General features: G+C 53.0%; 1 protein-coding gene across 1 annotated transcript, besides 2 other annotated features; it reads right to left on the reverse strand.

The window, feature by feature from the left end:
- Nucleotides 1436-13884, reverse strand: GPR4 (G protein-coupled receptor 4). The gene is made up of 2 exons (NM_005282.3): nucleotides 13767-13884; nucleotides 1436-4369 (listed from the first exon to the last, which is right to left on the reverse strand). Exon 2 carries the CDS (start codon nucleotides 3536-3538, stop codon nucleotides 2450-2452), a length of 1089 nt encoding a protein of 362 aa, NP_005273.1. The 5' UTR covers nucleotides 3539-4369; nucleotides 13767-13884; the 3' UTR covers nucleotides 1436-2449.
- Nucleotides 9048-9685: an enhancer, noted in NCBI's record as "H3K4me1 hESC enhancer chr19:46100634-46101271 (GRCh37/hg19 assembly coordinates)". NCBI's record gives its function as "activates a minimal SCP1, AML or CMV promoter by ChIP-STARR-seq in primed H9 embryonic stem cells {active_cell/tissue: H9 hESC(primed)}" and the evidence as "EXISTENCE:reporter gene assay evidence [ECO:0000049][PMID:30033119]".
- Nucleotides 9686-10322: an enhancer, noted in NCBI's record as "H3K4me1 hESC enhancer chr19:46101272-46101908 (GRCh37/hg19 assembly coordinates)". NCBI's record gives its function as "activates a minimal SCP1, AML or CMV promoter by ChIP-STARR-seq in naive H9 embryonic stem cells {active_cell/tissue: H9 hESC(naive)}" and the evidence as "EXISTENCE:reporter gene assay evidence [ECO:0000049][PMID:30033119]".
- Nucleotides 13885-14505: the final 621 nt, after the last annotated feature.

Here is a 14505-nt window from a genome sequence, read left to right on the forward strand (position 1 = left end):
AGCCTGGCCAACATGGAGAAACCCCGTCTCTACTAAAAATACAAAAATTAGCCAGGCGTGGTGGTGCATGCCTGTAATCCCAGCTACTCAGGAAGCTGAGGCACAAGAGTTGCCTGATCCCAGGAGGCGGAGGTTGCAGTGAGCCGAGATCCTGACACTGTACTCCAGCTTGGGCAACAGAGCGAGATTCTGTCTCAAAATAAATAAATAAACAAACAAAAATAAAACTCCAAAAGCTGATCACTGCTCCTTGTTAAATCCACAACCACCACCCACCCGGCCCAACTGACAGCACCTCCCTCTTGGACTCCTGCAGTCACCTCCTCACTGGGCTCCTGACTTCTATCCTTGTCTCCCATATTCCTTTTTTATTTTGAGACAGGGTCTCGCTCTGTCGCCCAGGCTGGAGTGCAGTGGTGCAATCACTGCTCATCACAGCCTCCACCTCCTGGCTCAAGTGATCCTCCGGTCTCAGCCTACCAAGTAGCTGGGACTACAGACACATACCACCATGCCCGGCTAATTTTTAAAATTTCTGTAGAAACTGGGTCTCCCTATGTTGCCTAGGCTGGTCCCAAACTCCTGGCCTCAAGCAGTCCTCCTGCCTCAGCCTCCCAAAGTGCTGGGATTACAGGCTTGAGCCACTGTGCCCAGCCAATCTCCCATATTCTACTCCCCACTCAACAGCCCGTGGGATACTGTTAATACTTAAGTCAAATCACCTTCATCCTCTACTGAGAACCCCCTCATAGCTCCCATTTATCTCAGATTAAAAGGCAGAGTCCTCACTAGGATTTACATGGCCCCACACGACCTGCTGTCCCCTCTCTTGTCTCATTTCCCCTTTCCTCTCGTCCTCTCTACCTCCTCTCCAGCCACACTGCCATACCTGCTATCTTTCAAAATTCAGACACTCTATTATTATTATTTGAGATGGAGTTTCGCTCTTGTCACCCAGGCTGGAGTGCAGTGGCACAATCTCAGCTCACTGCAACCTCTGCCTCCCGGGTTCAAGCGATTCTCCTGCCTCAGCCTCCCAACTAGCTGGGATTACAGGCACCCACCACCACGCTCAGCTACTTTTTTTTGTATTTTAGTAGAGACGGGGTTTCACCATGTTGGCCAGGCTGGTCTCGAACTCCTGACCTCAGGTGATCCGCCCGCCTTGGCCTCCCAAAGTGCTGGGATTACAGGCGTGAGCCACTGCGCCCGGCCCAAAATTCAGACACTGTCTAACCCCAGAGCCCTTGCACCTGCAGTTCCCTCTGCCTGAAATGCTCTTCCCACAACAGCCACAAGGCTGAGTGCCGCCCATGCTTCAAGTCTTTGCTGGAAAGCCACCTCAGCAAGCCCTTCTCTGCCCTCCTCCAGATCAGACTCCAAGTCATCCTCTGTTCCCTCAACTGGCTTTACATAGAAAAATGTCCCCTTCCCATTTAGCAATTCCAAACATTACATATTTTTTATTTACTTGTGTATGGTGAGCCCTGTGAAGGCAAGGCCAGGCTGCCTCAGTCATTGTTGTGTCCCCAGCCCCACCCAGCACAGTGCCCTACATAAACCTCTGTTGAATGAATGAATAAATACCCTTTCTTCTTGTCCCACACCTTCTTCCCAAACCTTCTGGCATCACTCCTCCAGGCAGTCTGCCCTGATTGCCCTTCACTTGAGTTCTGACATTCTCCCTCTTCATCCTCAGTCTTGACTTGGAGATCGCTGTTTATCTAGAAACTTAGAATTGCGGTCTTATGTTCCCTGGCCTGTATGACCAGGGGCTTTGCAAACATAATGACTCTATATCGGCTGCATTTCTCCTTCCACTTTCCCCCGAGTCACAGACTTTTATCCACTTGTTGGAAAAAAAAAAATCTAACCTTCTCTATTTGTCTTTATTTTCTGGAAACCAAATGTTTGACTTAATTTATCTGGCCAGACATGGCGGCTCACATCTCTAATCTGAGCACTTTGGGAGGCCAAGGCAGGAGGATCTCTTGAGCCCAGGAGTTCAAGATCAGCCTGGGAAACATAGTGAGACTCCATTTCTACAAAAAGTACAAAAATTAGCCAGGCATGGTGGCTCACATTTGTGGTCCCAGCTACTCGGGAGGCTGATGTGGGAAGATCGCTGGAGAGCCCAGGAGGTGGAGGCTGCAGTGAGCCACGACTGCACTACTGCACTCCAGCCTGGGCAACACAGTGAGACCCTGTCTCCAAAAAAATATATTTACTCATCTCCTCCTTCAGGAGGCCCTCCACAATCGCCAAACTGTGATGGGATCTGGGAGCACAAAGGTTGACCAGTGACACACCAACCTCACTCTTCCTAAGTTCTTGTATTCTTATGAATATTAACACAGCCCTTTTTCCATACAATTTGCATACACCAGACCAGGAGAGAAGGGACTGTGGGATGAGAGGGGAAAACTGGGGATTCTGTGCCACTCGGGGTTCATTGTGCTGGCGGCAGCATCTTCAGCTGCACCTGGTCCCCCTGGGAGGGCGGAGTGGCCGCCCAGCTGCCAGTCATGGCTTTGGCTGTGCTGTTCCTCTTGGAGGTGAGTGGGGTCTCCAGGGTGAGCGAGGCATTGGCCATCTCCTGGGGCTTGTCGCTGGCCAGAAAGCGGAGCAGGTTGTGCAGGGCCTTGGCCACATCGCTGCGGGCGCCCTCGTTGACCAGGCAGTAGAGGATGGGGTCCGCCACACAGTTGAGGCTGGTGAAAGCCAGTGAGCTGTGGTATGCAGAAAAGACGCGCTCCTCGAAGCCGCAGTCCCAGGGGCGGCCCAGGTAGATGGCGCTGCGGGACAGCAAGAGCACGTGATAGGGCGCAAAGCAGACCAGCACGATGGCGATGAGGCTGAGGGCCAGCCGCTTGATCTTGGCCTTCTCCTGGCGCTCGGTGGACACGCTGCCCCGCACGGCCCGCAGGATGCCCCGGTACGACAGCAGCATGAGCGCCCACGGGAAGAGGAAGCCCACGAACACCCGATAGAGGTTCATCCAGGCCACCCAGCCTTCCATGGGGAACTTCTCAAAGCAGAAGGTGTGGTTGTAGCGGTCTCGGAAGAGCTCGTCATGGAACAGGGGCGCCGAGTTGGCGCCCAGCTCCGTGGCCCAGACCACGGAGCTCACGGCCACGGCGGTCTTGACGCGGCGCAGGCGGGCGAAGCGGAGTGGGTGGGCCACAGCCAGGTAGCGGTCCACCGAGATGCAGCACAGGAAGGCGATGCTGATGTAGATATTGGTGTAGAAGATGAACCCAAAGAGCTTGCAGGACCCGGGGCCGTGGATCCAGTTGTCGTGGTGCAGGAAGTAGTCCACCCACAGCGGCAGCGTGCAGATGTACAGCAGGTCGGCGATGCTGAGGTTCATCAGGTAGACGCCCAGCTCGTTGCGCTGTTGCACCTGGCGGTAGGCCGCCCACAGAGCCAGGCAGTTGGTGGGCAGCCCCACGCCGATGACAAAGATGTAGAGGGATGGCGGAAAGAGGTGGTCCACGCGCGAGTCCACGTGGCAGCCCTCCCACGTGTGGTTGCCCATGGTGGGCACTTCGGCTTCTGGGGCGCTTCCCCTGGCCCACGGGGGCTGTGGGGCCACAGGGAGCGGGAGGCCATGGGGCCCCCTGAGCCCCTTCCTTGGAGGCTCAGGGGAACATGGTGGGATGTGGTCTACAGGGAAGAGATGAGGTTGGGTAGGCTGGGCTGGGCTGGGAAGGGCAGAGCTTGAGAGGGAAAAGTTGGAGGAGGGATGGAATTATGACAGGAGGGAAGTCTGGAGGATGGTGAGATTAATAAAGAGGTTTTTCAAGGAGGTTATGTATGGAGTCAGTGTGTCAACGAGGGAGTATGGGGGTGACACAAAAATTGGTCTCCGGGAGTGTTTATGGAGGAGACGAAAGCATCGCTGGGCAATGGTGAGAAGGAGATGGTTTGCAGGGCAATTAGGAAGTATGTGTAGCCATATTGAAGTAATAATGGCGGGGGAATGTTCTAGAAGACACAAGAAATACATGAGAAAGTGTTGAGATAGGACACAGCGCAGTTAGGGAGTGTTGGAAAGTTCAGGCAATGTGGGTGGGAGTGCTGGCATTTCCTAGGACCCCAGAAAGCAACAGAGATAAGTAAGGTCACCAGTAAGGAGAAGGTTCTGGAAAAGGAGGTGTCTGGCACAGGGTGGACAAAGATAAAAGGCTCGGTCTGTGGACGGCAGGAAGGAGTCTTAGGAAACAGGAAGGAGGTGAGTAAGGTCTAGATCAGAGGTAAGTTTGGGGACGGAAGGGAAATTTCAATGGGGGCAGGGGAGGGACTCCAGACTGGTCCTGGTGGGGGCTGAGGGATTGGGATGAAGTCAGTTCACCGCTGACTGCAGTGCCTGTTGGGAGAGAGGACAGCAGTGAGGGAGTCATGGACACTCCAACCTTCTTCTCCCCACACTCCTCACCATAATTGCTGTGAACTGCAGAGACTGGACACCCCAACAATGCCTACTTCAGCCCCATCCTAAGCAACCACTCTCTGAAAACACAGATTTGAGGTGTCAGGCATATTTTCCCCTGACAGATATTAGAATAAAGACCCAACTCAGGCCGGGTGCAGTGGCTCATGCCTGTAATCTCAACACTTTGGGAGGCCGAGGTGGGAGGTTCGCTTGAGCCTAGGAGTTCAAGACCAGCCTGGGCAATGCAGTGAGACCCAGTCTCTACAAAAAATAAAAATAAAAATATTAGCCAGGTGTGGTGGTACATACCTGTAGTCACAGCTACTGGGGAGGCTGAGGTAGGAGGATCACTTGATCCCAGGGGATTCAGGCTGTAGTGAGCTATAATCACACCACGGCACTCCAGCTTGGGCAACAGAGTGAGACCCTGTCTCAAAAAAAAAAAAAAAAAAAAAGGTAGGGTGTGGTGGCTCGCACCTGTAATCCCAGAACTTTGGGAGGCCGAGGCAGGCAGATCACGAGGTCAGGAGTTCAAGAACAGCCTGGCCAACATGGTGAAACCCCATCTCTACTAAAAATACAAAAATTAGCTGGATGTGGTGGCACGTGCCTGTAATCCCAGCTACACAGGAGGCTGAGGCAGGAGAATTGCTTGAAACCAAAAGGCGGAGGTTGCAGTGAGCTGAGATCGCACCACTGCACTCCAGCCTGGGCAAAAGAGTAAAACTCTGTCTCAAAAAAAAAAGAAGAAAAGAAAAAAAAGAAAAAAAAAAGGAAAGAAAGAAAGAGAAAAAGGGAAAAAAATGACCCAACTCAGATTTTAGCATTTTCCTGCAGAATTCCTGTAAAACTGGCACAGGTATCATATCATGCTTCAGGAAATGCCAGACTAGTCTAACTCTATCATGTCACAGACAGGGAGAAGGGGCCCAGAGAGGCTGAGTCACCTCCCTAAGGATGCACAGCATGGCAGCAATAGGGCCAGGGCTGGGGCCAGCCTCCCACTCCTTACCCAAGAATCCCATTCTTGTCAACAAGGATAATAACAGCAAACGTTAATTGAGCCCTACTACATAGCAGATCCCATTCCAGGCATTTTTATGCATATTATTTCTTTTTATTTATTTATTTTTTGAGACAGGGTCTTGCTCTTTTGTCCAGACTAGAATGCAGTAGCACGATCACAGCTCACAGCAGCCTCAACCTCCTGGGCTTCCAGTGATCCTCCTGCCTCAGCCTCCCAAGTAGCTGGGAACACAGGCATGCACCACCATGCCTGGCTTAAAAAAAAAAAAAAAAAATATATATATATATATATATATATATATATAAAATAGATGCAGGTCTTCCTGTGTTGCCCAGGCTGGTCTCTTGAACTCCTGAGCTCAAGAGATCCTTCCCTGTAATCGCAGCACTTTGGGAGGCTGAGGCGGGCGGATCATGAGGTCAAGAGATCAAAACCATCCTGGCCAAAATGGTGAAACCCTGTCTCTACTAAAAATACAAAAATTAGCTGGGCATGGTGGCGCACACCTGTAGTCCCAGCTACTCAGGAGGCTGAGGCAGGATAATCGCTTGAACCTGGGAGGCGAAGGTTGCAGTGAGCTGAGATCACGCCATTGCACTCCAGCGGGGGTGACAGAGCCAGACTCCGTCTCAAAAAAAAAAAAAAAAAAAAAGAGATCCTCCCACCTTGGCCTCCCAAAATGCTAGGATTATAGGAGTGAGCCACCATGCCCGGCCAATTTATGGATATTACTTCTTTGAAATTTTCAAGACTCCTATGAGGAAAGTAGTTGTTCTTTCTCTTTGACAAACTGAGGCACAGAGCTGTTCCAAGACCTGTCCAAGGTCCTGATGTCTAGAGTGCAGCCATCTCTGCTCTCAGTCCTCATCTCCAGCCTGTGCTTCAGTTTCCACCCCAGAATAACTGGACAGGCCAGGCACAGTGGCTCATGCCTGTAATCCCAGCACTTTGGGAGGCCAAGGCGGGAGGATCGCCTGAGGTCAGGAGTTCAAGATCAGCCTGGCCAACATGGTGAAACCCTGTCTCTACTAAAAATACAAAAATTAGCTGGGCGTGGTGGCACATACCTGTAATCCCAGCTACTCGGGATGCTGAGGCGAGAGGATTGCTTGAGCCCAGGAGGCAGAGGTTGCAGTGAGCTGAGATAGCATCACTGCACTCCAGCCTGGGAGACAAGAGAGGAACTCCATCTCAAAAAAAAGAAGTCCAGGCACGGTGGCTCACGCCTGTAATCCCAGCACTTTGGGAGGCCAAGGCGGGAGGATCACCTGAGGTCGGGAGTTCGAGACCAGCCTGACCAACATGGAGAAGCCCTGTCTCTACTAAAAATACAAAATAAGCTAGGTGTGGCGGCACATGCCTGTAATCCCAGCTACTTGGGAGGCTGAGGTGGGAGAATTGCTTGAACCCGGGAGGCAGAGGTTGCAGTGAGCTGAGATGGTGCCATTGCACTACAGCCTGGGCAACAAGAGCGAACTCCATCTCTAAATAAATAAATAAATAAATAAATAAATAAATAAATAAATAAAAAATAACTGGACAGAAAAGGGCCCTGGGCTGCCAGTGGGGACTGGGAACCAAAGCTGCAGAGGAGTAAGGGAAAGGGGAGAGCCAGGAGCTGCTGGGAACAGTCAAGGTCAAGATCAAGATCAGGGAGCATGGGGAAGCCCTGGGGTTAGCGCCAGCAGTCTCCTCCCTCAGGGACCACTCTCTTCACTGTCTCTGCCCTTTCCCCCGCAATTTTCCTGAGTGAGAACCTTGAGCCTGTCACCCACTTTGTTCTGGGAAGATCTGCATACACAGGGCAAAGGATATTCATGGACCAAGCCCCTGACTATCATCAACCCCGCAGAGAAGCAGAGCCAAGTCCAGAGTCACAGGCAGCTTCAGGAGCCATTCCATCCAGGGGTCTTTTGGTTTAGTTCTTTTGGACGTGAAACCTGGCTTTTTTTTTTTTTCCCCCAACAAGATCTTAACCAGAAACCAATCTAAAACAGTGAAAAGGGTGAGCTGCTAGCTGCTCTGGTGAAACAAGGTGGGGGTGGAGAGGCCACCTCTGAAGAATCCCCAGGATGCACTTTTAAAACATGTTAAAAATGGAGTTTAAGGTGGAGTCTATTGACAAATGAGGAAACCAATCCCCAGAGAGGGGACGGAAGGAGGTCCATGGGAGCCTCCCAGATGCCAGAGCATCTTTCCATGGGAAAGTCCTCTGGGCTCCACCTCCCCAGTGCTTCCTGAATCTGTGTGCGTCTCTCTCAAACGCCTGCCACTGTCCACTCTGCGTCAGCATCAGCGTCATCACTCGCTGGGATCATTGCAGTAGCATCACCATTGCTTTTCTGGGCTACTCTGGCTTCCTTCAAATCACTTCCCATATGGCAGCCAGAAAGATCTTTCTTTTCTTTTCTTCTTTTTTTTTTTTTTTTTGAGATGGAGAGTTTCACTCTTGTCACCTAGGCTGGAGTGCAATGTCCCAATCTTGGCTCACCACAACCTCTACCTCCCGGGTTCAAGTGATTCTCCTGCCTCTTCCTCTGGAGTAGCTGGGATTACAGGCATGCGTCACCACGCTCAGCTAATTTTGTATTTTTAGTAGAGACAGGGTTTCTCCATGTTGGTGAGGCTGGTCTCGAACTCCTGACCTCAGGTGATCCACCCACCTTGGCCTCCCAAAGTGCTGGGATTACAGGCGTGAGCCACCGCGCCCGGGCAAGATCTTTCTATCATGAAAATCAGCTCTTTCTTTTCTTCTTTTCTTTTCTTTCTTTCTTTCTTTTTTTTGAGACAGGGTCTCACTCTGTCATGCAGTAGTGCAATCTTGACTCACTGCAGTCTTGACCTCATGGGCTCAAGCCATCCTCCCACCTCAGCCTCGTAAGTGGCTGGGACTACAGGTGTGTGCCACCACACCTGGCTAATCGTTCTATTTTTTGTGGAGATGGGGTTTCCCCATGTTGCCCAGGCCGGTCTCCAACTCCTGGGCTCAAAAGATCTTCCTGCCTTGGCCTCCCAAAGTGCTGGGATTACAGGCATGAGCCACCACATGCAGCCTAGTTCTTGTTACTTCCCTGCTTGAAACCCTCCAATGGCTTCTGAATGGACTTGCGGTAAAATCCAGACTCCTCATCCGGAGTCACAAGGTTCTGTCTGACCTGCTGGGGCAGCCTAGCCAATCTCACTCACCTCTCCTTCCTGCCTCAGCAGTCTCAAGGCCAGTGAGTGACCTTCTTTCCAGCCTCAAACCTTTGCACACTTACCATACTCTCAGTCTGGAATGCTCTTTTTTTTTTTTGGAGACAGAATCTTACTCTGTCGCCCAGGCTGGAGTGCAGTGGCACGATCTCGGCTCACTGAAACCTCCGCCACCTGGGTTCAAGTGAGTCTCCTGCCTTGGCTTCCTGAGTAGTTGGGATTACAGGTGTGCACCACCATGCCCAGCTAATTTTTGTATTTTTAGTAGAGATGGGGTTTTACCATGTTGGCCAGGTTGGTCTCGAACTCCTGTTCTCCAGTGATCCACCCACCTTGGCCTCTCAAAGTGCTGGGATTACAGATGTGAGCCACTGCTCTTCCTTCAGATAGTCTGAGTAGCTCCGTTCCCTCCTTCACTTCCTCGGGAGTCCCTCTCCATTCAGTCCCCGACTCTCCCCTGCCCCAGGACCCTCTCCTCACATCACCCTGTTTTGTTTGTGTCTGTCTGCCTAGAATAGGTTGTCCAGGAGGGCAGAGACTTTGTGTGCCTTGTTGACTGCTGTATCCCCAGCATCCAGGACAGGCCCAGCATACAGTAGGTGCTCAATAAATTACCAAGGTCATGGTCAGGGAGCACAGAGCCATTTGCCAATGGCAAAAACCATTCCAGAAGCTTTGCAGAGGCCAGAGGCATGGAGTAAAAACATACTCTCTGCCCATGAGGCTGCCCCACCCCACCCCAGGCTCAAACAAGGGCATGGGGAGGAGGGGGAAGGGAGGGAGAGGAGTCCATTCCCAGGGGAAGAGGTGGTCAGGGGAGAGCTGGAAAGGGCAAGATCTATCCGCTTCTTAATTGACTTTGAAAGGTCAGGGCTGAGTCGTGCTCAGTAAGTCCTGCCCCCTGTGGGGTCCTCAGCGGCAGAGCTGCCTCCCCCACCCCAGACTCTTGGGCAGAAGCTTGTGGGTCCTGTGGAGATGGGATGGGTGGGGGCGTACTCCAGGCTGGAACAGTGTGATCCAGTCCCTCCCTTCCACTTGAAACCTCCCACCCAGACCAAGTCACTCAAAATAACCTCCCTCCCCTCTCCTCTGCCCTCTCTCTCCCCATCTCTCTGCCCCTAGTCTCTCCCTTCCTCCTGTGACATTTAGAGAATTAGGTCTCCAGGAGCCTCAGTTTCTCCCTTCTGTAAAAGGGGGCACAGGCTTTATAGTCATCACATCACAGACCGGAACGTCCTTGCTAGAATGCGATATCAGCTCCGTAACATGCAGTATTTGAACGATTATTATTATTCCACGGGGACTAGGGGGCTGAGACAAGAAATAAACCGGTTCTTCATGGCAGGAGACACCCACCGAGGGCTAGAAGTCCCCTTTGCCCCACTTTCTATCGACCCCCAGGGCTCTGCTGACCTAACTCGGGTACCCGGGCAGGAGACACTTCCGGCAGCCAGAGGAGGAAATACACTTCCCATTGCTAATTTCCTCAAGGGGGAACCGGTCCAGCTCTCACCCCTCCTCCCTCCCACCCCTCCTCCCCAACCTGCTGGCATCTTGCGGATGCTGGACATGGGGGGGAGGGGTGCCCAGACAGCCCTCTCTTCTTCCCCACGTGAGATCTGCCCAACGTGGAAACCCCAAAAGTCAGCATGGAACGTCAGACTCTTAGAACGCCACAGTGCAGCCGACGTATGTGTGGCAGCTGGGAGTGTGAGGCTATTTCTGACCCCTTCCTGGTACAGATGGGGAAACCGAGGCCCGCAGCAGCAAGGCAGTTGTCTAAGTCACTTGATGTCTCAAGACTGGGCAAACCTCCTGTCGCTGTTAACTAAACAGCTTCCCTTCCCCTGAGGTTTTTCTCTTCACTCTCTGAACTTCTGTAATTTTTCTCAAGTCTTTCTGAGCGTCTCTGGCCCCTCTGAGAACCTACTAGAAGATACGACCTTCTCCCCACAAAGAAAGCAAGCGACCTTCCATCACCTGATCCCCATAACCCCGTTCCCCTTCCAGGACCCTCTCTGGTTGGGATCTAAGTTCTGCCCCTTAGGCTCTGTTGAGGGGGTAAACCCCCAAATCTCACATCCACAAGAAGCTCCCCCTGTCTGTCCCACAGGCCCCCACTTCTTGGGTCCCTGCTGGCCCCTTCCAGAGAGTCGGGGGGAAGAGAAATATACCCAAGGATGGAGAGATGGTGGGGGGACAGGAAAGACTAGGAAGACCTGGCCCCCCCAACTTTAGCAGCCTCGGCTGCCGCATCCTGCCAGCCACCCCAAAATCCAGCAAAGCTGAAAAACTTGGAGGATTTTGAGGACAAGAGGGAGAAGTGCTACAGCCCCCCGCATCCCCCAGCACCCCTGGGCTCACTCACCAGCCTTGTCCCCGATGCCACCAGGCTATCTCACCTCCCCCTTTTCCTCCTCTGTGGGCTCCTGCTCCCACCACCCCCCCCTCCCCGCCTTCTCCCTGCAGCCCCAAGGGACCAGCCAGCTCCGGTCTGCTCATTAGGGACGAAATGTGATCACTGGTCCTCGCTCCCCACCTGGTGCCCTGGCGGCCGGCGGAAACCAGGGGGCAATCGGGCTACCCTAACGGCCCCACTGCACCTCAGTATCCCTGTTTCAACCGAGAGGGTCTCTGTGCCCCCAAAGCCCACACTGCCTACTAGGGATACCAGTCCTTAGATGGCCTCTCTGACGTTCTAGGTCTCTATGGTTCTGCAGTCTTCAGGTTCTATCCTTAGTTCACTTCGCAGTTGAATGTTCTATTATAACATTCTAGAGCGTTACTCTTCTTTCATTCTATTTATTACATCGTGGCTTTGTAAGTACCTACCCTAAGTTTCCAATATTCTAGGAGTGTCACATTCCAAGATTCGAAAGTTCTATTGTTAGAACACGCTATGATTTTTTTAAGCATTCTATGACTTTCATAATCTATTATTAAACGCTCAGTGATTTTTATCTTTCCCCAGCAAACAGGAATATGTATTTCCCTTTTCTCTTTTACAGAAATGGGAACATACACTAAATACGGTGAGCCCCACTTCCTTTTCTTTCCCCCCTTCTCTCGCCTGCTTTTGAACATTCCAGCAGCCTGATTTCTAAGATTGTGCAGAATTCTAAGAAATTATGGCTTCATGGAGGGAAGAGAGGGGCGTGTTAGTCACCACCTCCACCTGGCCCCTAAATTCTCACCACCTGGGGGTGACATGCTATATCCAGGCCGCCTCTCTACCCTTTCGCTAGTGGGCCTAGCCTCAGCCCTCCCCGCTCACACCAGCTGAGTTATTATTTGTCTAGACACAAACCAAATTATAGGCCCTGTCCCCGAGGGAACGGTGGGCTCCAGGCGGAGGGTCAGGAGACTGAAGCTGGAGTTAATCCCGGTTCCCCTCCACCTCCCTCCCTCTCTTCCCGAAACTCCACCCCTTCCACCCAAACCAACTATTGCCCCTCTCCCTCCCCACCACCATGGTTTTGGAAATATTTTCTCTCCTCTGCTTCTAAAACCCTCCCTTCTGGATTCCAGCCATTTCTACTCACCCTGGCATCTCTCCCTCCTCATTGAGAAGACCTCTTTCCCCAAATTAATCCGACTTAGTGGTAGCAGAAGAAGCCAGCTCTGTGGATTTGGGCTTCAGTTGAAAACTGGGGTCCCAACCCTCCAGCCTGGCACTGACTCACTGTGGGGACTTCTGCTTTTGGACCTCAGTTTCTCCATCTATAAAATGGGGGCAGGGGGAGTTGGCCTAGGTGGCTCCGCAAACCCTTTCCAGCTCTCAGCTGCCATCACTGAAACGTGCCAAGATTTCAACACTCCTCTTTTTGGATTGAAGGACTCCAGTATCCCCAGGACCTTTGATTGGAAAGATCTGGAATTCCCAGGCCTCCCCTCCAATGCTTCTTCCATCTGGGCCCTTCCATTCAAAGATGTTCACATTCAAGGTACTTGATCATAGGATTCCCAGGGTTCCAGGAGCCCCTATGGGTCTTTCATCCTCTTCAGCTGGGATTCCCCCAGAAAAGAAAACCTCCTCATCCTCACCCCAAACCTGAAGTCAAGTTCATCTACAAAGACAGAGGTGGGGGCGGATACCCCCTTGGTGGGCTCAGGAGGAGGGGGGCTGATGGTGGGCTCTGGAGGGGGAACTGGGGGGTGTGGCCCCATCCTCTCCACTTCTGCGCCAAACAAATTCCCCAATGCATATCCAGCCTGAGTACGCACACACACACATCCCACAACCGATGCCTCACAGATATCCTAGAGCTATTCCTCAGCCTAGTTTGGGAGGAGGGGTTGTCCAGTTCCAGGGGGGAGAGTGAGGCGGAAGCAGGAAAGAGTTAATGGTGACCCAGCCAAATCCTGGAAGAGAGGAAGTAGGGGAGGAAGTCCACCCCCCAGGCAGGAATTCCTGAAATTGGCGGGCGGGCTGGGTGCGACCTGAGGGGCAGTGGGGTGGCTCCGTGAAGGGGGCGCTGGGATCATGGTGTCACTTAGAGTCCGCCTGCCCCAGGTCACAAGCCTCCTGCCCCCTACCCCACTCCCAAGCAGGTTCCCAGCCCAGAGGAAAGTTCCGGGATGCGGAGGATTTGGAAGGAGAGAAGACAGAGCTGAAGGTGCCAAAACAGTGTTATAAGAGACGGAGAGAAAGAGACAGGGCAATAGAGATGAAGAGACAGGAAGGGAGAGAGCAAAGAGATACACAGAGACAGGGAGAGATGGAGATAGAGTCAGAGACATCCGCAGAGGTCCCACAACAGACGGGGGTGAGGCAGAGGCAGGGGCAGAGGGAGGTGGGACCCAGAAACAGAGAGACAGAGACAGACAGACGGAGACAGAGAGGCAGAGATCAAGAAAAAGACAGAGACATCCAGAGACACAGAAGGAAAGACACGTCCAGAGGCAGAGGGACCACAGACACAGAGACATCAGGCGGGAGTTGGAGACAGACGCAAAGCCAGGGAGAGCAACAGAGGGGGCGGGCACCGAGACGGCGCGGGAGACTGAGGCAGCCCCCGAGGGGGCGGGGAGGAGCGGTCTCGCCACGAGCAGGGCAACCTAGTGAGACCCCGCAGCATCGCGGGCAGCCGGGGAGGACCCGGCACTTACCTGCGCGCGGCGACTGGACGGGGCGGGCGGCGGCACCTCTCTCCGCTGCGTCCAGGTCCCCGGTCTTGACAACGGCGCGGGGACCCAGCGGATGCCCCCGCGGGGCAGAACAGCGGCTACTCCTCCCGGCCCCCGGGCCAGAGCCGCCAGCCGAGGCCCCGCCCCGGCCAGGCCCGCCCCCATTAACCCCACCTTTGCCGCTGCCCCTTAACCCCTTTCAGGCTTCACCCCATTAAACGCCTCCAGCCACGGGTGAGGCTCATCTGCTACTGGAACACCCCCGAATCCTTCCAAGTCCCCAGCTGGAAGGTCCCCTCTCTCCAACCACACACCCCCAAATTTATCAGGTCCTCGGCTATGGGAAGAGGAGGCCCCCGCTACTGACCTTCCCTGGGTTAAGCCATTTCCTCCCTTAGAGACCCCAGGCTTCAGTCATTCATCCTCTGGTCATTAACCTTCTGCATCTTCCTCCCCAACAACGGAGAGAATAAAGGGTTCTGTTAGGTCCCCAACTCCAAAGTCAGGGCCACCCCTAGAAGGAGCTCTGGGGTTGCATTTCCAGCCTGACTCTTGGTCAGACCTTAGGCTAGTGACATCTCCGTGCCTCAGTTTCCTCTTTGAATCAAGGTGGTCACTCATGGTGCCTGCTTGCTTCCTTCTTTTCTTTGCTTTGCTTTGCTTTGCTTTTTTCTTTCTTTTCTTTCGAGACAGAGTCATGCTCTGTTGCCCAGACTGGAGT

Source organism: Homo sapiens, chromosome 19 (assembly GCF_000001405.40).
Source record: "Homo sapiens chromosome 19, GRCh38.p14 Primary Assembly".
Lineage (NCBI taxonomy): Eukaryota > Metazoa > Chordata > Mammalia > Primates > Hominidae > Homo > Homo sapiens.

What these genes read in the sequence shown, in the direction of transcription:
- GPR4 (NM_005282.3), bottom strand. Translation starts at nt 3,538, where the DNA reads ATGGGCAACCACACGTGGGAGGGCTGCCACGTGGACTCGCGCGTGGAC.